This window comes from Homo sapiens, chromosome 9 (genome assembly GCF_000001405.40).
Source record: "Homo sapiens chromosome 9, GRCh38.p14 Primary Assembly".
Lineage (NCBI taxonomy): Eukaryota > Metazoa > Chordata > Mammalia > Primates > Hominidae > Homo > Homo sapiens.
The window spans coordinates 29016913-29044863 of NC_000009.12; the positions used below are offsets into that span (position 1 = coordinate 29016913).

At 33.6% G+C, this 27951-nt stretch overlaps 1 protein-coding gene across 11 annotated transcripts in view, besides 1 other annotated feature; it reads right to left on the reverse strand.

Moving 5' to 3' along the window:
- The window catches only part of LINGO2 (leucine rich repeat and Ig domain containing 2), a 1275985-nt gene that overhangs the window by 1079296 nt on the left and 168738 nt on the right, over positions 1 to 27951 (reverse strand). The gene's annotated exons all lie outside the window — the stretch shown is intronic.
- Positions 12953 to 13122: an enhancer, noted in NCBI's record as "experimental_107603 CRE fragment used in MPRA reporter constructs". NCBI's record gives its function as "activates a minimal promoter by MPRAs in K562 erythroleukemia cells, with activity observed for both the introgressed and non-introgressed 9:29029948 variant alleles {active_cell/tissue: K562}" and the evidence as "EXISTENCE:reporter gene assay evidence [ECO:0000049][PMID:34662402]".

Genomic DNA, 27951 nt, shown 5'->3' on the forward strand with positions numbered 1-27951 from the left:
ACATAGCTTTTGTGACCTGAATCTCACAGGCATGCAAAACAACTCAGAGAGATTGACACCGCACTTCACTCAATCTCTAAACATTTCTGATGCCTTCACTTTCTATTTATCTTGTGGCATAATTATAAGATTTTAGAAAAGAAGGTTAGAGATTCAAAACATGTACATTTTATTTTTACTTCCAAATATGTTGTTATTAAAATTAATCAGGATTAATTTGAATAGCTTGCTTGCTGTTTTTTGCATGTTGTTTATCATACTATGTAATTAAGGAAGACTCTGAGTTGCCTTATATATAGTAAATAATTGAAAAATACAAATAAATGTATAAAAACAGATCCAGAGAAAATCCATATAAACAATGAAGATTGAAATAAGAAGGAAACTCAAGCACATATATGTAAGGCCTTCAAACCATACAAGTTACCAAAGTCATCACAGACTTTGATTCTCAGCTTTTTGAAATCAAAGCAAAAAGAGAAAAACAATTTTCAATGCTTTTCAGAAAAATATACTATTTATCAGAAAGTGCAAAGAAGTGTTGTGACATTTCATACTGACAGTAGTAATAGCAATATTAAAAATAATAATGGGAGGGCAGTCAAGATGGTGGACTAGAAGCAGCTAATGTGCACCACTGTCATGAAGAGGGAACAAGGTGGCTAGTAAACACTGACCCTGCAAGCCAATCATTTAAGAAACCACGTTGGCATGCATCAAGGTAGCAAGGTGAGACAGAGAACAGAGAAGAACAAAACTGGGCAATAGCCTATCTGGGATCAGTGAGGAAGTCAGGAGAAGCTCCCCAACAAGAGGAAAGGGTAAGTGAGAACCCACAGGAGATCCACATTTCTCACAGGGACCTGTGCAATCCTGCAAATGGGAGAATCACCTGGCATCCCTAAGTCTCTAGACTGACACGGAGAATTGCAAGTCTACAGAGACTTCCATGGGTCTTGGACCCCAGAACAGCTCAGCGTCAGCCCCAGTAGAGGCCACAGTCATGGTGCCCAAGAGCAGTAAGATTGCTCTACTCTCTCTCACAAGACAAGGCTTACAACTTAGGTGCCTGCCCATCAATGGTGGACTGGATAAATATATATAAATCTGCATATATATATATAGAGAGAGAGAGATCTATATATAAATATATATAAATCTTTATATAAATATACATTTTATATATATATATATATATATAGTATGAAATCATGTTCTTTGTGGCAATATGGATGCAGTTGGAGTTCATAATCCTAAGCAAACTGATGCAAGAAGAGAAAACGGAATAACGAATACTGCATGTTTCTCATTTATAAGAGTGATCTAAACATTGAATACACATAGACATAAAGATTAAAATAACAGAGCAACAGAGACTCAAGATGACTAGCTGGGGGAGGGAGAAAGGGGAGCATGGGCTGTAAAAACACCTATTTGGTATTATGCTCACTTCCTGGGTGATGGGATCATTTGTACCCCAAACCTCTGCATCACACAATATACCCATGTAACGAACTTCTACATCAACCCTATAATCCTTAATACAATTTGAAATTATAAAAAATAATTATAGAATATTATTATGGGTAATCACTGCTTTGCATGCCTTATATACATTAACTCATTTAATCCTCACAATAACTCTAGAAAATAGTCATTATCATCCCTATTTGGAAGATAAAGAAACTGAGGACCAGAAGATAGAGAGGCTTAGTAACTTACTAGAAGTCCCAAAGCTATTCAGTGGCTGAGCTGGAATTATGAATGAAGGCAGTCAGCTCCGAAGTTCTCACTCTTAACCATATTTTATGCAGCATCTCTTATTACTTAGATCTGAACGAAGTGTTTGAGCTCTTATGCACTGGACTAAGGAATGTACTAAAAGATATCTCAAGCAAAAATTGCATAAGACAAAGGTTTCTTAAATCATCTTTCTAGTCAACGGAAAACTCAAGAACGAAATTCACAGGGACTATGTACAGGCTGTGGTGGGGCTGGTATGAGCAAAAAGACTTGAAGAAGCTCTTCTCACTTTTATTTTCTGAAATATGATCTTCACTGGTAATCTTAGCTCAGAGAACCTGCTGTATTTAGACTAGGTGACCTATAAACGTAACCTGAGAGGTATTTTTAAGTATATAAAATATATATGTGTATTGTGCTGTCTTTCTACACACTAATTCAGACTTTCTATTTTAAAAATATAAAATAATCTGATACTCTGCTCCATTTTGGGAATATAAATAAAGCCTTGAGAATTGAGAAGAAAAGGTACACCATGTACTGCAAGGCATGTGTTTTACTAACCACTGAAATGACACATGGTGTATACTTAAGGTTTAGACTTCAAATTTTATTTTTTGGTGTATGCTGTGAATGAAGAAATATACTAGTTCTTCAGGGCATGCAGCCACACATATGTTATATGTTATATCAGCAAACACTCTTGTTTTATTTTTAGGAGACTAGTGTAGGCATTACAGTTTTCAGTTTATTGGTTAAACTTATGACACAGTTTTGTTATTTATACCCCCCATTTGTGCATGGTAGCATAATGAAAAGGTGACCAAGGGTTGCACTAGCAGAACCAATTACTTTCCCTTCTGGTCTCCACTCCCACTAATCATCTTACTGTGATATTGGTCACATTTTGTCTAGTGAAACTGGACAGTTCAGCCTAAGTCTGTCACTTACTCTGCTTATTCAGGAACAGATACCATGTCATTCTCATCCCTGTCACTACATAGCGACTGGCACAGTACTTTGACCATAATAGGTGTTTGGGAAATGTTGGTGGCACTGGATTAAAAGTTAAAAATTTACAATGCCTTCTGGAATACAAGAAAATATTTTTTTTTTGTAAATGGCATACAGACATATTTCTATGCATTGATTATCAGATATCTTTCTATTCCATTCCTTATGAGTTACAAAAGCTCAGTCTCTAGTACAAAGATCGAATCATATTTAAAGAAACTACAAACTTAAGCAACAATGCTCAGTGGGGAGATTTTCAGTGGATTTGCTGGGATGATAAAAATCCTGGAGAAAGAATTTGCAATTTCAGCAACCTATATAAAAGGAATAATAAAATTTAGAAAAAGATAGCATGTGATGGCTGAAGGCATATGTTTAGCAGCCAAATGTTTTGCTGAATACTCCCGTTTGCAGTTTAATGGGAGATCCAATATAAAATTCCACTTACACCTGAATGTTTAAGGTAAAACACTGAAATGGCTAACATATGCTCAAAATGATTTAGACATTCATCTTCTTGGGTGGGCATATATATCTCCTTGGCAAAGAAATGTAGTATGGAATCCAAGGTACAAGAACTAACGGACTAATGGACAGAATTGCACAGGCAAAAACCAAACACGATATACCACATAGTACTGTTATACATAAGTATGAAAAGTAGGGCAGTTATTTTTTTTATCAACCACACAGACACAAAAATCTCAATACATTTTACTTCAAGTATAATCCATACCCAGGTATAATGATTGCATTATCAAGTGGAAATATTTCCAAGAAAGGATTACTGCTTTGTAGTTTATATACAGTAAGTATGGGCTTGGCTTCTAAAGATCTCTAGAATATGACTTTATTAATAGGTAAGCCCTATTTTTAAGCTTCTAAAAGCTTGGGAAAGGGAGAAGGCCAAGTACCCAAGCTCAATGTGGAAGCAGCATTTACCATTAGAAGGCAGTGTTTAGATCCAGGTACTTGGCTGCAGGAAGTCAGAAGAGACACTTTGGTCATGGACGACTGCATAGAGAACTAAGAATAGAGCTGGAGCTGAGAGAAATGACATATATGCCATTAAGAAAGGAAGGGAAATAAGAGTAATAGCACAGAGGTGATGATGACAATGGTATACAAGACAGCCAGTGAGCAGTGAAGATACTGGGCTAATTTGAGCAAAGGGTGGGGGGAAAAGGAAAATATGGTTGCAACAGGCTACATATAAACTTTAAAACAAGGCATTTTTAAAATTAAATTTTATTAATTTAGTTTTATTCAAACTAAATTAAAATAAGCATAATAAAAGTCAAAGAAGAGATAAGGATTTGAGGCAAAGGTGTGGAATCAAGGAAGTAATCTTTCTTAGAGAAAGATTACCTTAGCTATGTACATTGAAGGAGAAATCAGAAACGATTACTGTATCTCAGAGGCTTTTGGTGAAACACTGATTCATGTACAGATATTTGTTATGGCTTGTACTATACTGTATACTCTCTGAGAACAGAGGATATTTAGAACAGTTTTGAAATCCAACAACAGCACAGTTTTTCCTTGATCAGATGAAACTCAATGGATTATTACAGAAGGGTAGCAGGAAGAGAAAAAGGGAAGAAGGGTATTTGAATGCGTCTGTGCCTCTGTACACTCATAGGTAAAATTCAGGGAATACGGCACTAACTACATTACTGATTAATTGACCTTGAAAAGCATCGACTAGGCCAGGTGCGGTGGCTAACGCCTGTAATCCCAGCACTTTGGGAGGCGATGCGGGCGGATCATGAGGTCAGGTGTTCAAGACCAGCCTGGCCAACATAGTGAAACCCCATCTCTATTAAAAATACAAAAAAATGGCCAGACGTGGTGGTGGGCACCTATAATTCCAGCTACTCAGGAGGCTGAGGCAGGAGAATTGCTTGAACCCAGAAGGCGGAGGTTGCAGTGAGCGGAAATCGCTCCACTGCACTCCAGCCTGGGCAACAGTGTGAGACTCCATCTCAAAAAAAGAAAGAAGAAAGAAAAGAAAGGAAGGAAGGAAGGAAGGAAGGAAGGAAGGAAGGAAGGAAGGAAGGAAGGAAGGAAGGAAGGAAAGCATTGACTAGTAATTCTAAGTATATACATATATCAAGACAATAAATGTTGATATTTTGTTTGCCTTCTTTTTTAATATTATATTTCCTGAACTGTCTAGTTCCTTAGTCTTAATATGGATCACATTTCAAATAAAAGTTTTAAATAGATTAACATAATACATAACTTGGTCAGAATAAATTATCTGTTTGTCATGAAATATCACAAAAATTGAGGTTAAAATAACATTTCTTATGGCAGTAAAGACAGAGCAGTTAAGGAAAAATATTTACCCTTATATCTGTTTTATTTTTCTGCAATTACTGGGGTATTGTCCTACCTTCTTAAATTACTAATAATTCTGCTACTGAAGATTTGACTTTTCTTCCACATTTTTCTCACATGACAATGTTTCTGAAACCCTATCGATTTTCTCCTTCTTAAAATGAAAATAATAAAATGTTGGATATGGAAGTATTTTGAAAATATTTTTAATTTTATAAGGAAAGGAAGCAAGGCATGAGTTGGTTATATAACTTGCTCAATGATAATAATTAAATCAGCTAGTCCCAGGGAAAGTGTTTCTTCTCTCTGCCTACTGCAGGATTTGCAGCTAGGCTTTCCCTCACACTCACGCAGAATGGTGGGCTGCTTCTGTTATTATGCCCATACAATTATTCCACATTAACCTCTCTTCTTTGGATCGTTTATGACAACTGAGGGGCTGAGTTTTTATTACATTTCCTCTGTCAGGTGATTTTCTTCCAAAACAGGGACTGAAATTCAATGAGTTAAATGAATACAGAACTCACTTTATGTGGGTCTTACGGTTGATCTTACAATTTAAAACACATGTAAAAAACAAGTAGTTTTTAAAATGTCGACTTAAATTTTCACATTTCATTTCCTGGTAAAATGCTCTTAACTATGCCTTGCCTCCTTATGCACTGACTTTTTGTAAGTATTGGAGTGGATTTTTCACTACATTAAAGTAATAAAGAACTAGACATGTTCTCCTAAGCAAAGTTAATCACTCTCCTCTATGGATCAAAGAGTTCTCTCTCCCTTGTGATATAACAGCACTTATCAAGGCATTGTTACTCTCTTCGTACATTCCCTTCTCTTGCTAACTGTGCTAGGTTCTCCATATCTAGCATGTTATCTGGTATTTGGTAGGCACACAATACACATTTCTGAATAAGTGAACTCAAATAGTGAACCAAACAAGGTCAGGCTACTCTCTTTGAGCCAAAAAAAAAAAAAAGAGAGAAATTATTATGAAATGCCTCATTTTTTAGTAATTAACACCATGCTGCCTACATAGTCAGCATTCAAACATATACTTGTTGGCTCACTAAGTATCCAACAGCTTGAGTGGACTCAACACTTGAGTCTTCACCCAGAGAGACCTGGACACAACCGCATGGCCAAAGTAAAGGAAAAAGGTTATAGTTGGTCATGTTATTTAATCTGAAAATCTGAAAATGGGTTAGATAATATACACAAAGCATTTGTCCTTCATTTTCCAAAATGAGTTTTTGGAAAATTAATATGGAATTTATTTTTCATAATAAAGGAAAAAAGAGGACATTTATGTTACAATCTAACAAAAATATCTGTTAATTTAAGGACAGCAGGACACTATATGTCCCTATTTATTTTTTAGCAAATTTCAATAATGAGTACCTGCTTAAAAATTATCTTTCCATTTGAAAAATTAAATAATAAATATAAATGAATGCTGTAGTCATTGAATCTAGTTAGCACTCTTTCATTTAAAGGATTTTATTAAAATTAATCCTTAATATGGCTAAAATTCAGATACAGTAGTTACAAAATGGTGCTTGCATAGTACAAAATCATACCTAAATATAAAATTGTTTTAGGTAAAATTTAATGTTAAAAGAATACTTATTTTGGAAATCCAATAAATGAATAACTACATTCATTTTAATCAAGAAAAAATATTTACATGGCTTAAGTTAGTCTAAACTCCACCAGCACACATAAGATTAACCTGAGAATTAAGTATTAAATCTAAAGGCAAGTAATTTCAGAATATTCAAAACTTTTGTGATCTTATAAGATTACAGGCCAAAAAATTATATCGGAAGCTATATAGGAAGCTAAATATTAAGAAAGCTGCTTGGATCCTTAGTAAAATATAATATGTATAATACAGATCTATGTTTCCTATGAAGCACTTTTTTTTCCAAATGTTAACAACTTCATGTGTTCAGAGAAATACAAATATTCCAACCTTTCTTCTTCTTCTCTTGTAAACTTAATGTCCTCCTTCCACCCACAACCAATACACCCTTCACTTTGCCCTGCTGCCACTGGAACAAAAGCCTCTAACCAGTCTTCCTAATTTCAGCATCAATAAAACCCTTTAAACCGCCCTCTACATTGTGTTAGAATTTTCTGGCCAAAATATAGATCTGATCATATAAATTTTCGTTATATCACTGTCTACAGGAATCCAAACCCCATATTTAGAAACTTCAAGTGACATGCATGATTCCTTAGAACACTTTAATATATCTATTAAAGGAATATTAACAAAATGTAATGGCTACCTGTATTCACAGCACCATGGATAGACAGAACTTTGAGGCAAAGGACTGTGTCTTATTCATCATTTCATTACTAGAATTGAGTACATGGTAAAGGCTCAATAAAGGTTTGTGAAAATCAATCCTGAATGTATAAATGTTATTCATGGCTAAATTTAGACTTAATGACATCACTTCCCATTCAAGTTACTGCTAATTTGACTATAGCAGCAGGGTCAATAATCTTCCTCATGTACTTTTCAATATATTTTATTGATACTAAATGATTATCACTAAACAACCAGATTACCCATAAACAGAACCTCAACTTTAGAAAATGACCTATTTTAACTATCTGGTCCCAGATTAGAGTAGGAGGGAAAATCAGAGAGCGATGGAGAAGGCAGAGTGATATTGAAATGTGTCTCCTGCATAATGACATAACCCCTAACCCAGTGAGAAATACATGGTGACATTGTGATAATTTTCCTACTACTGTTGTGTGAATTTGCTGAGATGTATGCTGAACAGTAAATCCACTTTGACAAAATGTGTGTTTCAATCTGGAATACGTCAGTTCAACTTTGTTGAAAGTCCTCATTTCTAACACTTTATTGCTGCCTTTAGCTGTATTAAACCTGTCTGTTTACCAAAAAGATGACCTCTTCCCTTACTAAAACCATACGATGGCTTATATTGTTTATCAAAAAAGAAAAAAACAGAACAGTCCCTGTATTAAAAGAACACAAACTACAATTCCCTGATGGCCCATTCACAGTATCTGCACTGATGGATGAGAAAATGTTCCTTTCACAGATTGCAATCTGTTTTTCAAACATCTGTGGGAACTCAGCTTTATAAAAAGGAGGAGAAAAAAACAGAAAAAAAAAACAAGGAATAAGTTGGAAACCCCTGATTACTGAGAATAGAAGCAAAATATATAATGAGATGAACCCCGTAAACACTGCAAAGTATCACATCTAGGTCAGTGCATGTTATAGCTTTTCTTTGCAAATAGTAAAATATTAAAACCTCTGAGTCTTTAATGAAACATTTGGCCTTTTTTTTAAGTATTACAGTGAGAACTTATGTTTATAATGTATTTGTTTATCAAACAAAATAATACATACAAAAAGTCACGATTGATGAGGTTCCCAAGTTACATCTATTGTTTAATAATAGCTGATTTCCAAGACAATATTCTAATCTCTGTGTTATCCAAGAGCCCTGCAGATACTTCTATGACTTTTTGAGATTCATTTTTTTTCATTTAGAGGTAAAATTGTATGTATTCACTCTATACTGTATGATGTTTTGAAGTGAAATGACAAAATCAGGTTAGTGAATATATGCTTTACCTCACAGTTACCATTGCTGTGATGAGAACACTTTACAGTCACGCAGCATTTTCAAGAACACAATATATTATTAACCATAGTCACCATGTTGTGTAACAGATCTCTTAAACATATTCCTCGTGTCTAGCTGAAATTTGGTATCCTTTGATCAACATCTCCCCCCTCTACCCTTAACCACCCCTGCCCGTGGTAAACACCATTCTATGTGATTAACTTGTTTGGATTCCACATCTGAGAGGCATCATGTGGTATTTATTTTTCTGTGCCTGGCTTATTTCAATTAACAAAATGTCTCCCAGGTTAATCCATGTTGTTGCATATGACAGGATTTTACTCTTTTTTATGAGTGAATACTGTTCCATTGTGCAGAAATTTATATTATTGCTTTTCTTTTTTCTTTTCTTTTTTTTGGAGACAAGGTCTTGATTTGTCTCCCAGTCTGGAGTGCAGTGGCATGATCAACCACACTACAGTCTCAATCTCCTGCACTCAAGTGAACCTCCCACCTCAGATTCCTAAGTAACTGGGACTACAGGCGCACACCACCATGTCCAGCTAATCATTTTGATTTTCAGTAGATATGAGGTCTTGAAATATTGCCCAGTCTCAAACTCCTGAGCTCAAGCAATCCTCCCTCCTCAGCCTTCTAAAGGGCTGGGATTACATGACATTGTAATTTGACCATGATGAGTTGCTTAAAGGATAGAAATCAAGTTTCCACATTTGTCCTAATGCCTAAAAAGCAGGCTTTTTATAAATGATCCTTTGGTAAATAATTAAATAAATGAAGTTCATACAATTTTCATTCTAATGATGAACTTAATACTATGTGTGTGCCTCATTTCATGTCTTTAATTTTTTACTCTTTAACTTAATTATACTGAAAACATTTATGCTATATTATATGTAGAAAAAACAGTATAGATATTTATATTTTTGTCAACTATGCAATTAAAAAAAATTGTACAGAAATAGCGGAAGAAAATATCCAAAAATATTATGAATTACTTCTAGATGTTGAATTCCTGGAATTTATTTGTATTCTTCCTTCTTTGTTTAATCTTCACTAATTCCATAATCAGTATGGAATAGTTTTGTAATCAGAGGAGATACTTAATTTTAAAATTCCATTACATTTTTCATTGTTCTGATCAACATAGCTGTTACAGGTATCTACTTTTACCTTAACAACCTCTATGAGCTAAATTCCTCATTCTATAATAAATCAACCAAATCATTGCCAGTCCATATATCTGAATGATATGACCAAAATAAATTCCATTACTTAGGATAAATATATTTAAACTAAATAAAATAACAACTACAAACAAACAAAACAAGAATGATATGTTTCAAGGATATGAATGCTCAGGATGTGAGATTTCTCCACAAAGGTGAAATGTTATTTCACATTTTAACCAGTGTTATAAATCAGTGATTAGTGTGTAAGGAGAAAATGTAGAATATAGAAAATGGGTAAAAAAATATAGTTATTATAACAACACAGGATAAATAAAATGAGGCAAAAATAACTAGGTTAAGTAACAGGTCAACTTACTGCATCAGAAAGTTGAGGCCGAGATTTTATTCAGAATATTAAAAAATTATGTTCTAGCATTAAATAATGAATTGTCTTCAATCATAAATTATAACCTTTGAATCTGTGAGGCAGATATGACTTTTTTAAAAGTTTCTATTGTTTTAATTATTTATTTGAGACAGAGTCTCGCATTGTTGCTCAGGCTGGAGTGCAATGGCAGAATCTTGGCTCACTGAAACCTCCATCTTTCAGGTTCAAGTGACTGTCCTGCCTCAGCCACCTGAGTACCTGGGGCTACAGGCACACGCCACCACACTCAGCAAATTTTTGTATTTTTAGTAGAGAAGAGATTTCACCATGTTGGCCAGGCTGGTCTTGAACTACTGACCCCAAGTGATCAGCTCACCTTGGCCTCCCAGAGAGCTGCGATTACAGGCATGAGCCACCACACCAGGCCAGATATGAGTTTATATATTTGTTTTTCTTAAACAGAGCTGTAAATTAGTCTAATTGATTGTTCCAAGGTTTCCGCAGTACCACTTCATTCTTAGGAAATAAGCTTTTATGTCAAATAGATTTGAGTTCAAACTCTGCTTAAAAATTAACTGTGTTCAAGACAATTACTTAACTGCCCTAAACTTTACTTTTCCATCCATAAGGTGGAAATAGTAGCTAAATCATGGTAATTATTGGCAATTACACAAAGCATTGTGTATAAAGTAACTAATACAGTGCACTTAGCAGATGGAGTAGAGGCAGATCAACCTTGTCCACTTTCAAGATGAGATTAAGCCAGTGGAAAGTAGGTGATACCAAACTTTCCTGATAATTCAGGCAAATAGGCTATGCTAAAGCAGGCTTACAGAAAGTATGACCTGTATTCCTGGACTGTAGTGTATCTTAAATACCCAGAAAGGCCTTCTCACTATCATCAAACTCACAAAATTTCTACACAGAACATTGGAGACTATGGTAGAAAACAATCATACTCCAGGGTCTACCTTCTAGCTCTCACAGTAACATAAAAGTTACAACTGCAAATTGAATTCTTTTATTCCTGTCCAAAAAGCAGATCAATATTAGAGGATTCTCATATAAAATATATAGAATATGTGTGGACAGATGAAAAGTAAAAAGGTGGAATATTGTGCAGTTCAGGAAGGAGGGTTTCATTCAGGTGATGAGGTCATAAAACTATCCATGTAGAAGACAGACACATTATCTAAGTGGGTAGTGTGTGGGGGGGGGTGAGAGAGAGAGAGAGAGACACAGAGAGAGACAGAGAGAGAGAGAGAAACTGATTACAAATATATCTCTAGTTCTTCAGTTATCCTTTGAAATGTGATTTTCCTGCTACTCCCATCAAAAGGTAGAATGTATTTATCCTCACTTTGAATCTAGGCTACCCTTGTTACTTGCTTTGGCCAATAAAATGTGGTAGAAATGATGGTTTGCCTATTTTGAACCTTAATCCCAAGAGGTCTCGCATTCTTACTTAGAGTTCTGGAACATCATGTGAGCAAGGCCAATTTAGCTTGCTAGATGATGAAAGGCATGAGGCCTAATTACTCTCTCTGCCCCAGCTGACAGCTATTCAATAGGTAGACATGGGCTTAAGGCAACCCAGACTCCAGCAAGGCTATCAGAACTTAGATGGATAAGTGAGCCAGCTCAGATTAGCCAAGCTTGGTTCAAAGCTCAAGCACTTCTCAGAAAAACCACAGATTTCTAGTAATCATAAACATTTACTAAGTGAAGATGAATTTTTTTTTTAGGTAGTTTGCTACACAGTAATAGCTGTATACACAGCATGATGGTCATAGCATGGCCTGGGAAGAAATGCAAATTCTAGTTAATTTCATGGCTAACTGGAGGCACTCAAGCTTCATTGCTTCCACAATACTTGTCTTGTTTAAGTAAACAAGAGGATTTAACCTTTCATCTCTGAACTCCTTAAAGGCTACACTACAGTTTTATCCATCTTTGAACGCCAAACTCCTGCTTATAGTGTGGTGCAGGGATTAAGGTTGTGGGCCCTGAAACTAGATTTCCTAGGTTTAAAACCTGCCTGAGTGACCTTAGGTAAATTGCTTAATATTTACAAACACAAATTTTATAACCTCTAATATTGTAGTAATAATGTTATCTGCCTAACAGATATTAAATTAAATAATGCAGCATAATAATTGATGCTGGTGCACAGTAAGTATAGTTATGCTAATTATTCTTATTAGATGCTCAGAAAAGTAATGCCAAAATCAATCTTGAAAATGGGTAGCAGAGAACTCTTCAGTCTTTATAATCTCTGGCCCTACAATTATAAAATTCACTATGTAATCCCCAGAAACCCATTATTTGATTAGTCATACTTAGAATGAATACTTCTTGTTTGATAGAGGATGAGAAAAACAGTGATAGATTTTTACATAAAGACTGTAAACCTGACATCTCTTTAACTTATTTACTTTAATACATTAAAAGCCAAGAAAATGCATCACTTTGAAGAGAAATGTAAGAAGCTAGTGGATTCTTCAAGCCACCTGATATGTTTATAAACAAACCAGCAAGTGGATTGGGGCAAGCAGCAAGACTCTCCTCTCTTTTCGAGCAAGTTTCTGCCTCAGTTATTCTCAAAGAATATGCCATTTAGAAGATATAAATCATATTTAAAAGAAGCTTTCAGTTTTTTTTTTTCTGAAAAACATATTGGAAGACATTCCACGCTCATTTCACAGATCTTCTGAAGTGTATTTCTAATCATTAGACTAGTTTAGAAATTCCTTTGCACCAGTTGCTACAATAATGTGTAGCAACTTATAAAAGTTAAAATTTGGTACTAGCTGGTGTTAGAAGAAAAAGCTTAAATGTGTTATCTTTCAGGAAAAAAAGTGAAAGATTGCTGGGTGTTCTATAGAATGATAGTATAAATTCTTATGTATTGAATTGAGTCCTATTTTAGGATTGCCAAGTCTAAACATATATAATAATACTTTAAGCTGTAACATATTTCTAAAGATATTTGCCATTTTCCTAAGAAAAGTATTATTTTATCAGAAAAAATTTCTGAATGTTCAAAAATGCCTCTCCACTGAAACACTGGCCCCAATTATGTAATTCATCAATTCCACAATGCATACTTTTAATTTTAAGCTAATTGTAGACGTATAGAAAAGTTGGAAAAATAACAGTACCTATATACCCCTCATCCGGATTTCCCTAAAGTTAATTCAAATTTCACCTGTTGTCTAGTAATGTCATATTTCGGTTCCATGATTCTCTCCAGAGTCCAATTTTATATTTAATTGCTTTTTATTCTTAGTTTCCTCCAACCTATGACAGTTCTCTGCTCTTATTTTATCTTTCATGACCATGACACTTTTGAAGAGTACTTCCTCTTGGTAGAATGTTCCTCAATTCAAATTTTCTCATTTGTTTTCATGATGAGATTCTTCTCATTCCATTATATCAAGAAGTTCATGATGTCACTGTCTTACCAATGGTAATATTGACAGTGTTTACTCAGAGAAGTATCTACAGGGTTTCCCACTGTAAAGATTTTTTTCCTCTGTGATTAATAAACATCTTTTAGGGAAATACTTTGAGACTGGGTGCATTACCTGTTTTTTCTTAATATTTGTCCACCAAATTTACAAACTGCAAGTGTACCTTATCAATTATTACTGAGATTTGCATTTTTAAAACATTTAACATGCCTATAATCAGGATACATCCTAAAATTGCTGGTCCCTCACTGTTGCTATCAACCAGTTAGCAGCCATGGTGCAGGTATCACTGTACATAAACAAACTTGTTTCTTATTTCCAGTGGCATGAATGGACAAAGACTATCCTTATACATTTTAAGTAACAAATCATTTATTGATTTATTGAAGAAAAACCATGAATCCTGGTTGTCATATGAAAATCTCCCATTGACACTGTCTGGTAAGATCAAGAAGGTGCAAACAACAAAAACCACACAGTAGCTGTGAAGAAAATTAAGCAGATATAAGCACTTTTTCATGTTTGGTTCATATCAATGTTTGTAATAGCACATAGTAACAAAGTGGTGGTGGTGGTGGTGGTGGTGGTGATTTATTTATTTATTTATTTATTTATTTAGAGATGATTCTCTCTCTGTCGCCCAGGCTGCAGTGCAGTGGCGCCATCTCGGCCCACTGTAACCTCCATCTCCAGGGTTCAAGCGATTCTTCAGCCTCAGCCTCTCAAGTAGCTAGGATTACAGGTTCTTGCCACCATGCCTGGCTAATTTCTGTATTTTTAGTAGAGACAGAGTTTCAGCATGTTGGCCAGGCTGGTCTCAAACTCCTAACCTCAAGTGATCTGCCCACCTCTGCCTCCCAAAATGCTGAGATTACAGGTGTGAGCCACCGCACCCAGCTGGTGGTAATGTTATTTTTAAATCCATATCTATGACACTGAGTCAAATGTTATTCTAAAATGTCAGATCCTAACTTTCTTTACGAAGTTTTGGGAATTCCTTCATATATTCCTTTATTTTTAAATAAAAATGGAGTATAATTTTAAAAACTGAATAAAGCAGTCTAACACAGCTCTTCCGATAAGTATGAAACTCTAAGTGATAAACCACTGTGTCATTGTTTATTTGATAGTGTTTATTCTTTCTTTAGCATCTTTGGGATACATAAAAGAGAGTGAGATATATTTTAATCATTGGCTCCAGTTTCAATTTCATAGGGAAATAGTGAATTGTAGGTGACTCAAATTTTCAGTGGAAATTAGAATCTCATTTGTCAAAAATTTCAGATGTGCTGAGGTTTTGTCCCTCAAGGGCTTTCCTAGACAAAGTTTGTAATACAAAATAGCAATCCAAGTGGCAATCCCATGTTTAGTCTTCCACTTGGTAAACAGCAAAAGGGAAACTTGTAGAGTAGTGCATAAACTTCATACGTTTTAAATTTTTCTAAAGAAAAATGCATTTGGTCCATAAACATGCTTCATGGAGGACGGAGATTAATACAGAAGGCATATTCAGTGGCTTATTTAAAGTTATCAGTATATATTTCTAAATTGAAGACAAAGGAAAGTCAAGTGTTTATTTTTAAGGTGATATGTTAAATGCAGAACAATGGCTTTATGTCTGACATTCCTGCTGTAATTGGAGGGTCATCCCACCTTTCTGAGACACAACTCCTTTATCTGCAAAATGACAATACATACAGCAAAGCTCAGCAATCTTTTTGGAAATTCAGATAACTACTTTTTAAAATGTAGTAGAATTAAAAAATCAGTGTGCAGCTCACTACAGACAATAGTTGTCTTCATGAAACTTTTGAGTGTATACATGCATATGTGTGTATAATGTCTCAAATTTAACTTAATTTCTTACTGGGAGTCACTGTCAAAGTCTGAAAGTGAATGAAGTAAATCATCTCTTAGAATCATTCAAGCCTCAGATTCTGTTGTGTACTCAGTTACATGAAATGAGCATTTATACCACATAGTTCAGAAACAGATGCCAAAGCCTGTAGACCAAAAATGATTAACACAGTTGTCATTAGCCACATGTGACTATTTAAATCTATATCAATTGTAATAAAATAAAATATTCAGTTCCTTAGTCACAACAGCCACTTTTCAAGTGCTTTATAATATTGTGTGGTTAATGATTACTGTATTGGAGAGACTACATATATAGAACATTTCCATCATTTGAAAAAGTTCTGATAGAGAGCTCTCCTCTGTAACTATCTCATGCATTTTCCAATGTGTTAAACTAAGCCTAATTAAACCAATATGAGGACTAGTGGAATGAATTTGATTACAATTATGCCATATAGATGAAGAGAAAACTTCAATGTTAATTTATAATATATACTTTAATGCTTTATTCACATATCACTCATCTTGCCATTTCAGGCTATTTTCTTGCCTTGTCATTAAATTGGAACAGCTTCTTATTCTTCAATTGAATTATTTTCTGAATTTTATTTAAAATTACCAGCTCATGTGAACGATGTATGCCAATATTTTATTCTGCCATGATGCACTTCCAAAGTTCATGTGAGGTCTTGCTAAAAGGGAGCTTTTCTTGATGGAGTACTGAAGTCTCACCTATTGTTATTCCTGTCTGGTGAATGTGAAACAGAAAAACATAGGAAAAGTTTCTGGTTTGGATTGTTATTCAAATGTGTGATTCTATATAAAACTGCTTTACTATATATATATATATATATATCTCTTCTATATAAAACTGCTGTACTATAAGACCATTATTTTTGATGACTGCCATTCAACACACGTACGGGGTTGAAATAGTTTAATAATTGTAAACCTTATTCTTATTACATTAATAATCCATAGAAGTGTTGCCAAGATTGAGTGAAAATATATGGGTTTAATTCCTGGTATTGGTGTTATCTTGCTCTGTAATTTGGATTAAGTCTTCAAATCCATTCCATGATTGCATCTTCATATATAAAATAAAAATAATTATACTTGTATTACTTTCCTGAGTGGAGTTCTGAGGGCAAGATGCCACTAAAAAAAAAATAAGTGTTTCTGAAGAGTGAGAAAATGGAAATGTTATTACTCTAAAATTCTGGTTTCCTGAGATCTTAACATATGTCATATATTTGCCACTTCGCATGTCAGAAACATAGTAATCATAGCACTTTGGGAGGCTGAGGCAAGTGGATCAGTTGAGCTCAGGAGTTCCAGACCAGCCTGGCCAATATGGTGCAACCCCATCTCTACCAAAAACACAAAAAATTAGCTGGGCATGGTGGTGCGCACCTGTAATCTCAGCTATTTCGGAGGCTGAAAGAGGAGAATCACTTGAACCCAGGTGGTGGAGGTTGCAGTGAGCTCAGATTGCGGTCACTGCACTTCAGCCTGGGTGACAGAGTGAGATTCCACCTCAAAAAAAAAAGAAACATAATAATCATTACATATTTGTTAAATAGATGTATGAATAGATCTATGAATGCATGGATAAATGAATGTATATACCAACAAAATTGTTAAAGACTTTAAATATTGCTAAATTAATAAGTATATATAAACACATATAACATCTTTGTAAACACGTATCTAAAAATACATGTTCCATTCATTTAAATTTTATTTTATTCCAAAAGAGTATTGAATACATAGCATGATATTCATAATATTATATGGCATAAATATTCAGGTATATTTTAACATTAAATACTTCATATTTTAATAACCTAGCTAGATCAAGCTTTACACTAACATATTGCGTGACCTTGGACAAGTGGCCCAGCAAACTGTAAGCATTTGAGCTTGCAAAGCACAGCTTAAAGATAGGAATTGAAAATTAATCTCTGCCATATTTTTGTTGCTGTTATTGTTATTCCTTTTTTGGAGAGGTACATTCCTAATTTTATTTTAAAAAATAAATAGCCCTATGACTATGATTTTCACCATTTCTCTGATCAATAATTTTGCTCTGAACACAAGCGCATTTATCAGTGTCTATTTTAAGATATCAATAAATTAATCATTATAATCATTAAAATAAAACATCATCAAGCATTACTAAGTTGAGATTATTCAGAAGAATATCATCTTTTTACTAATATCCAGTCTCTGTGTATAGTGACCCTGTGGTAAGTCCTTCACCCTTCGTGTCTGCTGCCTTCAGCACTATCGATTTACTGACAATGCCATAATGAGCTTGCCTCTGATCTTGTGCAGAAATACCAAAAACATTCATGTGAACTTTTTATTGTTCCTACTTTAGAAAGGTGAACAAAAGTCAATGTGAAATAACACATATAAAATGTCAGGAATCATACGCCTCAATAAATGTTAAATATTATTGCTATATTTATTTTTAAGCAGAGAAACCAAATATTCAATTTAACTGCATTATTAAAGCCTCTTTAGATGATTAAATAATAAAACCGTGAAGCTCTCTGGAATATACATAAGACATAAAGAAAAATATAAAAAAGTAATAATTTGCTATAATATCTCGAAAATTATAAAACCATCATGTTAGAACTGGAAAGGTCCTCAGCGGCCTCATAGTCAAAACCTCTAATTTTATGATGAAGAAACTGTAGTCCAGGAGATGAAGGTCACATAGATTGTGGTCATTTATCTTATTTAAGATAGAAGTAGTGGAACAGGTAGCCATAACTCAGCTCTTGACATACCACTATCTTTTCATTTAGTTTGACAATATTCTTCCTGGCTTGAAAATTCCAGAGGATACATTAGCCTATTAAGAACAAAAAACAAAAAAACTTTTCTTCAGCTCAGACTTGGACGGTTGAATCCAGTTTTATGCCTACAGCAGCATCTAAGCTGACATCTTTGCAGGTAGAGATGGAAGGTCAGAGAAGGAAGAGCTCAAGGTACATTCCTTCTTCCAGTGTACCTTGGTTTTGACTTCAAGCTTTTGTGCAGAAGCTTGAAGTCAAAACCAAGGTACATCGGAAGAAGGAAACAAAATGCAGAATATCTGATTCATAAATGGGGAAATGGAGAAGAGAGGAAAGGAAAATAAATGATGTTAAGAAGACAAAGACAAAAGCATATGTGTAAGCTTACCTAACGTCTTGTAAGTTGTATTGAGCTATCGTAAAATAATCATAAGCATTTTAGTCCCAATTTGTTCCCTGGCATCTTAGTTTCACTTTATCCCACAAGGAAATGGAAACACAGAGACAGGTAAATTGTCATGGAGGCAGAGATATACATATACACTAAGAAGAGGGAAAAATATTGAAATCTTGGAGAAAACTGTTTAGAGATGAGATAAAGAAAGCATGGAAGCTTTTGCGGAAACAATTTGGGAAGCAAGATTAGAAAGACATGGGAAGTCACATCACAGAATGGTGGGGATAGTTTACCTCATTTAAAAGACTGAGTAATAGTCATTTTAGACGCTTGCAACACCATTACTCCAGACTATGAAAATGGATTCAATGACCAAATGAAAACCATTAGTGTTAATTTATCAATACTTACACTACGAGTTCAAAAGCAGATATTAACCTGTTCAAGGCATTTGCACGTTGAGCATTTTATATTCAGCCCAGAGTTAAATATTAGCCTTAAAAAGTGCATAAAAGTGATTATAAGAAATGAATGGCTTTTGAGCTTTTAAGTCAAACACTCCTATGAAATTTGTGATATTTATTTCATGAAAGGTCTAACATATTTTGGAAGTATAAAATTTTCTGATCAAGTCTTAATAACTCAAAGAAACCAGAAGAAAAAAAATAATGAATCATTGTAGTAGTGTGAACCTGAACTATGAGAAATAAATTAGACTTCAAAATGAAGAATTTTAGATGACATTTTTTAAAAAGGAAAAGGGATTGGAAATTTAAAAAGTCCAATGCTGTAATACTAGCCAGAAAGACCTACTGCATGTAATAATACAGTCTGTATTCAACATGGAAGAGTGTACTTTGGGAGAGATCGGAAATCTAGTGAACAGTGCAATTAGCTTGGTCATGATTCTGTTTCTGATCACTATCACTCATTCCATCTATCAGAAAAAATATGCCTTTTTATTTAAAAGAAGTTTAACTTGTTCAATGCTACTACAGAAAGCTTCAGAGACAGACTTGGTATGGATTCTGTTTTTACCTTTCCAAACTATAATTAAGTTAGGAAATAAAAATATATATACTGCTTTTTCATGGTGAACATGAAACAATAAAGGCTCATTGAAAAAGGACAAAACTGTAAATTGTACTTCCAATGAAATTTATTAATTGAAAAATTAGTTATTAAGGTTTTTCTTAGTAACAAAAAAGATTTGTTATAATAATTTATGTTAGGATGAAAATGGCTATTTTTGAAATCTATGTATGTCAGGTAATTCTCCTTTATTTATAATTTCCAGTGACGTTCATCTATACCTTTTCTCTGCTTACTCTTTTTTTTGTCTGTCCCCACTACAAATAACTTGCCTAGTCTCACAAATTTTAATGTTGTTATCCTTAAAAGTGTGGAACCTTATCTACTAATTACAGGTTTTTTGGAGTTGTTTTCCTAACACACTAAGCAGGAAGACTTAATGATGAGACTCCTTAATATTATAATTTAGTTTTGGATCAATAGCTTTACTAAGAGTTGACTGAATTTTTCAGTGCCAAATAATTGGAAATTTTATTAATTTGAAATTTTATATGTTATGAATAAGTGGTTTATGTCAATTTGTATTATGTGTATTGTGACATGATAATTGAAGTTTTAGTGGAACTTAATTGTAGCTTATATTATGTTAAAAATATGTAATCACAAAGTAGATTCTAGTTTTCTAGAACAAATAATTTGTCAAGACTTTTGGAATTTCTCAAAAACTCACATTGATCAGCGATGCCACACTTCATATACTGCGTAATATCATGCATTTCTATTTTACATATGCTTCCACGTTATATGAAGATTAAAATATTATCCAATTGGAATGCATTTCAGCTCATTTCAGCCAAAGTCCAAACTGTCTAATGTACTGTTTCATAGGTTGAGTATTGGTAACGGAAGTTCCATTACCAATCTGTTCCATTTTACATATTTTCTTACATTAAAAAGCTCTGTGACCTAGAAAAGGTTAAAATATCTATGCTTCAATTTCCCACATGTAAAACAGAGATTTTAAAACCACATACTTGATAGAATTGTAAAAAAATTAAACAATTTAACAATATTCAATATATAGAAAAGCACATAGTGCATGGAAAGTACTATGCAAATATTAGCTCTTGAAAATATTAATAGAAAAAATATCATTTCTCTAAAAAGCTAATCCATGCTTTTGTACAGAGCTATGATTTGTTGATGTATAGTTTACCCTTATATGAATACTTCATAAAGTATTTATGTTGATGATATTTTGATTTTTTTCCAGATTTTGAATATTACAAAAGATGTTATATTCTTGTCAATATCTCTATGCATGTGTGCAAGAATTCTCTCTTGGGTATATAACTAAGGCAGAATTGCTAGGTTATAGTACACATATATTCAACTTCTGTAGACAACGTCCAACTGTTTCCAAAGTGGTTGTATCGGTTATACTCCCACCATCAGTACATGAGTGTTCCAGAAGATACTGTCTTTTAATTTTTAATTTTAGCCATTCTGGTAGTGTTTACTGATAATTGACATTAGTTTAATACGCATTTCACTGTTTACTTATAAGGTTGATCATCTTCTTATGTTTGTTGGCCATTTTCTGAAGTAACTGGCATAGGAGTGGGACTATTTTCTTACACTGAAGGGAATGTTCACTAATGACTGAGTAAGTTTCCATCTTTATTGGCTCCTGAATGCCATGACTGTGTTTCTCACCTTTTTTCCCCACATGAAACCTAACAGAATTTGCTGATATAGCATTTATATTCAGTTACAGAAAAATAAAATGTATACCCTGATAGGAATTCAGCAGAACATTAGAAATGATCCCTAGCACACTGTCTAGGGACAATGGCACAAGAGAATTAATTAAACAGAGTTCACTACTCAGAAAAAAAAAAAAAAAAAACATGAAAAAAGTTTTATCCTGCATTTGGTCTTTAGGATTAACATCTTTTTCATGTACATTCTAACAATTTCAAATTATTTTATTATCTTAAAAAGTATAAACAGAAAGTAGAGCAGGATTAAGTAAACTATTGCAATACTGAAGCAAGGGGAAAACTAAAATATTAAGACGCCTTAACCGAGCAAATGCTCAAAAGTCAGTACAGTATAAATGGTGTCTACTGACTTTATAAATTGTTGAGGAATTCTCTTGTCATTGCTCATTAGGCTTTAACTGGGTGCACATTAGTCAGGTACCAATCAGTGACTACTCAAATAATCATTAGTTACTGCTAATTGAGTGTATTATAGACTGTCTTTTCAGGTTGATCTAAATAAGCAGGCCAACAGCTGTACAACCAGCGGCAAATTCATACTGCTTCATTAAGTGAGGTTCTGAGAGTTTGAAAGATCTTAAAATGGGCTTGTGCAAGAAATCTGGCACCAATTTATGAACAACAATTGAAACACCCCAAATCCACTGATACTGAGAATACATTTCCTAGAGATGCTGAAATCTGAGTGTAGATTTAAATGAATTTCAGTTTGTTTTAGATCTCTAATAAGGAGAAATATAGTCTTTGTATATATGCATAAGTCTACTGAGGAGAATAATGTTCATAAGAGAAAAAAACAAGAATGAGCAGGAAGCTTGTTGTTCTCTTGTGTTAAATAGGGTGTTTCACTTCAGGGATGAGTCATTGATATTTAATGTAAAAAGGAGGTCACAGTAAGGCTACATGTAGCAAAACTCAAAGCTTACTGCCAACCATGGTGACACACAGCACCATCTACTTCTTGAGAAGCCTCTTCTCGCCTAGTTGGATCACAAATCATTCCCAGTTCTGTCTACTTTGCATTTTCTCTGACTTTTTAGTATCTTCTCTTTCCTCATAACTTTAGTTTGCCCATGGCTACCCCGACCTTTCTAACCTAAATCTACTTTAAGGACTTGCAGGTTCACTTCCCAAGGCTAACTCAATTCCAGGGACAGGCCTGGTTTTCTAAGCATGCCTGGCCAGCTATGGGCTGGCTGCTGCTGACTGAGGTGCCCACCACTGATCCAAGATGGGTAATAGCCAGTGAACAAAGCGCTTGAAAAATCAAAGCACAGCAACGGTAGGACAGGCACTGGTGAAAATGCATAGTAATTATTGGCAGTTACAGGAATAATAGCATTTCAACTGATATCTAGGCTGCTTTTGGGTCAAATTTTCATTTTTTTCTCCATGTCAAGTATAAAACAGAAAAAATCTAGAGTTTCATTTTTAGATTCTAATTTGAAACTATATTTTTATAGAAATATTTCTGAAATTCATATCCTAGAAAAGTGCTAACTTTGAAAATTACATTATTTGTTCCCTAATTCTGGTCATGGCTTCAACTGTATATGATCTTCATTGTTCAGTTTCCGTCCTAAGCTGTTTTATAATTTTCTTGGCTATCTATTATATTATTATGCAACTGCACCTTAGAGATAGCTGAATTTGAGTAGTCACTAAAATACATTTTAAATTGATAAAATTGCCATGGAATTTTGTAGCATAAAGGTAAAATATAAATTTGGAATCTTTATAATACATATAATTAACTAAATTATGAGCTGAAATTATCGTTGTTGCAAGTTTATAATACCAACAGCTAACTGAGAGAATTTTTATAAGTTTACAATAGCCATTTTCCCTTTAAAACTGAGTACAATCCAGAAAATTGATTTACAGCATAATAGTATACTATTTTTACATATAAATACTGGTTATCTACTCCCAATGTTCATAACAGAACTTAGGTTCTCTTCAAGGTATGATAGTTGTGAAAACCTCTAGACGCCTCTTTAAAAAAAAAAAGAGATACATAATTATCATATAATTTCCAAAAGGCTGACATATGTCATTGAGAAGCTTGTTTCTAAAAATCAAAAGTATAAATAAAATGGCATCCACCCATTTAATAAAATGACACACAATCAGTAGAATGCATATTTAAATTATTAGGATGTTATTTCTAAAATTGTTACAGTAAAACCAAAGTCCTAAAATATTCATATCCAAGAGCAGAAATGTTTAATTTTCAATTAGTTTATAATAATAGAGCCATATGGGTAATCATGAATTAGATTACATACAAATATAAAAGATTGTAATTCAAATTATACAAAATTAACACTGACATATAACTTCTATGCACTGAGTCCATTAATATACATACTGAGTTCATTAACAATTTTGTGTCCTAAGACCTAAGCTCAGTTTCCTCTTCCTTCAAAATAGAAACGGTAAAATTAATTTAAGCATATTTTCTATTGTGCACTCTTCTTTCAAGAATAATAAAAGTCATTTGAAGTTCACCTAATAATTAGGGAACACAGATGGTTACAGATTTTAATTTTAAGGATAATCAGAACTTAAACCTACTGTGTTCACTCTTGCTTGCAATGATAAATATTTATGCATCAAGATTTAAATAAATGGAGAGACATACTACATTCATAGACTGTAAGACTCAACATAGAACCTATCAATTTTCCCCAAATTGATTTATAGTTTTAATTAATTTCTACCAAAATTCAAGGAAGGGTTTTTGGACACAAAGACAAGCTTATTTTAAAATTTACTTGGAAAGGCACAAGCTAGCCAGAATAGCTAAAATATTTTGAAAAAGAAGAATAAAGTATTAATTATTACTCTATCCGATAGTAAGGCCTGCTACTGTATATAGCTATGAGAGTCAAGACAGTGTGGTATTGGTGGAAATATAGACTTATACATCAATGCAACATAGTAGAAAACTCAGAAGTAGACACCCAAATATGGACAGATGGGTAACCAGAGTTAAGAAAATGTAGCTCAACCTAGAGCAAATGGACAACCATAATTAAGAAAATGTAACTCAACCTAAACCTCTCACTTCATACAAAAATGGACTCAAAATGTGTCATGAACTTAGGTGTCAAACTAAAAGCTATACATGTTTTAGCAAAAACATAGAAGAACATCTTCATAATCCAGGGATAAAAAGTTATTAGACTTAACACTGAAATCAGGATCAATAAATGAAAACATTGATAAGTAGATCTTATCAAAATTAAAAATGTTTTCTCTGCCAAAGCTCATGTTGAAAGGATGAAAAGTCAAGATACAAATTCTGAGAAAATATTCACACACCCTCTATCTGACAAAGAACTGGTGTTAGAATATATAAAGAACTTTAGATACTCAGCAATTTAAAACTTTCCATCTAGAAAATGAGGGAAAGACATGAACATATATTTTACCAAAGAGGATACACAAATAGAAAATAAACACATATAGATGCATTCAACTTCATTAGGCATCAGGGACATGAAAACTAAAATCACAATGAAATATTGCTATATATCTATCAGAATGACTAAAATAAGAAAAAAATGTGACAACACCAAATACTGGCAAGGATATGAAGATATTGGATCACTCATGCACTGCTGATGTGAATTTAAAATAATATAGCCACCCTTGTCTACGGCCATACCACCCTGAATGCACCCAATCTCATCTAAAATAATATAGCCACTCTGGAAACTTCTGAAATTTAACATGCAATTCCCTTGCAACCCCGAAATTGCACTCTTGCACATTTAAACCAGAGAATAACAACTGATGTTCACACAAAAACCTGTATATGAATGTTCAAACCAGCTTTATTAATAATATCCCAAAAGTGAATAATCCCATCTGTCCTTCAGTGGGTGAATGGTTAAACAAACTGTGCTCAATCAATAACATGGACTACTACTCAACAATTAAAAATGAATAAAATACAAGAAACACAATTTTTTTCATTAAAAATGTATTTTCCTTTGTTGTTTTGCTTGGGAGAAACAAGAATATATTTCTTTTAATCTTATGTAACTTTTACCTTTAAAACGTGTTTTAATTGGCAAAAGAAAAATTGCATATATTTATGATGTACAATGTGCTGTTTTAATATATGTACACATTGTGGGATGACTAAATCAACTTAATTAACATATTTGTTGCCTCACATCCTTATTTTTCTAATACACACAATTTGGATAAATCTTGAGGGGATTATGCTGAGTGAACAAAGTCAACCCTAAAAAGTTACATAACATATGTTTTTATTACTATAACCAGTTAAATGACAAAATTATACAAATGGAGAAGAGATTGATTAGTCATTGCCACGGGATGCAATCAGGGTGTCAGGGTAGCAATGGTAGTGGATATGGCTATAAAAGGCCAACATAAGGGATCCTTGTGAGATATATATATATTCTGTACAGAGAGGCCACATGGATCTCTCTGTATTTATTTTAGAGCACTATGTAAATCTACAATAATCTCAAGAAACAGTTTTTTAAACAAAAACAACAGCAAGAAAAAGTAGACTGAACAGAGACAGTATAAGTAGAAACAATGGAGGATCAATGGAAATCCATTATACTATTTCACCTACCACTGCCTATCAAACTCAAAGAGAGCTAGCAATAAAGATGTAGACTGGAAATTTAAGCAAATGTTACAGAAAAAGTGCTGACATAGGAGTTAAGAAACTTGGATTCTGCTCCATTTCCATTATCTGCTGGGAAGTCTTATGAAAGTAACTTAGAATATCTTCTTCAATATCTTCTACAAAGCTTGAAGATGATAAGGTCTATGATTAAACTAGATGAACAAATTTTAAGAATCTTATAAAAATCGAAAAAGCTGAGTCAGTCACTAAAATCTCTATAAATTAGAACTTCTGAATCCTGCGAATCTGGGTTCCATGCAATATTTGCACTCTTAATTGAGTTCTAACATGTATGTGTTGAGATTTCTCATTTATTTATTTAACTTATTTCTGGTTATAGGCATGCATTTCATTATTACTAAGTAGTGCCTGCCTGCCACTTATGAAATCTGATGCTTATGCAAGGGATTGCCAGGTTAAGTAAACTACATGGTAGTTGTAAGAATGAAAACAAATAATACTATTTTATATTTTTACAGACTGACCTCCCTTGATTACTTCTATAGAAACATAAAACACAGTTATATGCAGTGACTATCAGAAACAAATCATCTGAAGTAATATATCACATGATGTATATGCAAAGATTGACTGGAAAGAACCTCATTCATCGCAATTTTGCACAATGCAATGAACAATGCACTGCTACTCATAAATAATGCAAGAAACCTGAGTTCAAGAAACCTGAGTTCTTTTTAACTCATTCACCAGCTATTGCCACTGTGTATTTCTTTTGACTGCCAATGAAAGAACAATGATAAAGCGAACAGTTTGCAAACACAGGTTTCCTATGTTTCAATCCTGTATTTCCACTTATTAGGAGTGGGGACTTTAATAGCTGACTTCAAAGTTCTATGCCTCAGTTTCCCCATGAGTAAAAGTGGAATAAGGTTACCTACCTCATGGGATTTTTTCTGAGAATTAAATTTGACAATACTGCTAAAATAATTATAACATGGATGGCACAATGTGAGTGTTATGTAAGTATATAATAATTAAAATAAATGAATGGAGCAAATAGAAGTTGGAAGGGTAGGCATATGGTACAGGCATAAACTCCAGAAAAATGACTCCTCCTTTGTTCTAATTAATTATTTTATGATTTTGTATACTCTGACATATTCATTAGTCTATAGCAATAACCACAGCTCCACTAAAGAAATACTCTGCTTAAGCAACATAAATAAAGGAGATAACACCTTTCAAGATTTCTGGTTAAAATAAGGCATATGACTCTCATACATTGCTAGTGAGAATGTAAACAGGTATAATTACTTGTAGGAGAATTTTACAATATCTCACAAAACAATACATGCATTTACCCTGTGACCCTGAAATTCTACTTCTGGGAATTTATTGTAAAGGGATATTCTCAAAAATATATTTGAATGAGGTTAGTCTTTACTTTGTTGTTTGTAACTGAAACATATTCAAGTAACCTAAATTTTTAAATATAGTAGAGTGATTAAATAAAATAAAATATAGAAGTCCCTCCACATTTAAGAGGGATATGATATCCCAAGACCCCCAGTGGACACTTGAAGCTGCAGATGGTACTGGAGCCTACGTACACTGCTTTTTTCTTATACATACACCCTTAAGATAAAGTTTACTTTATA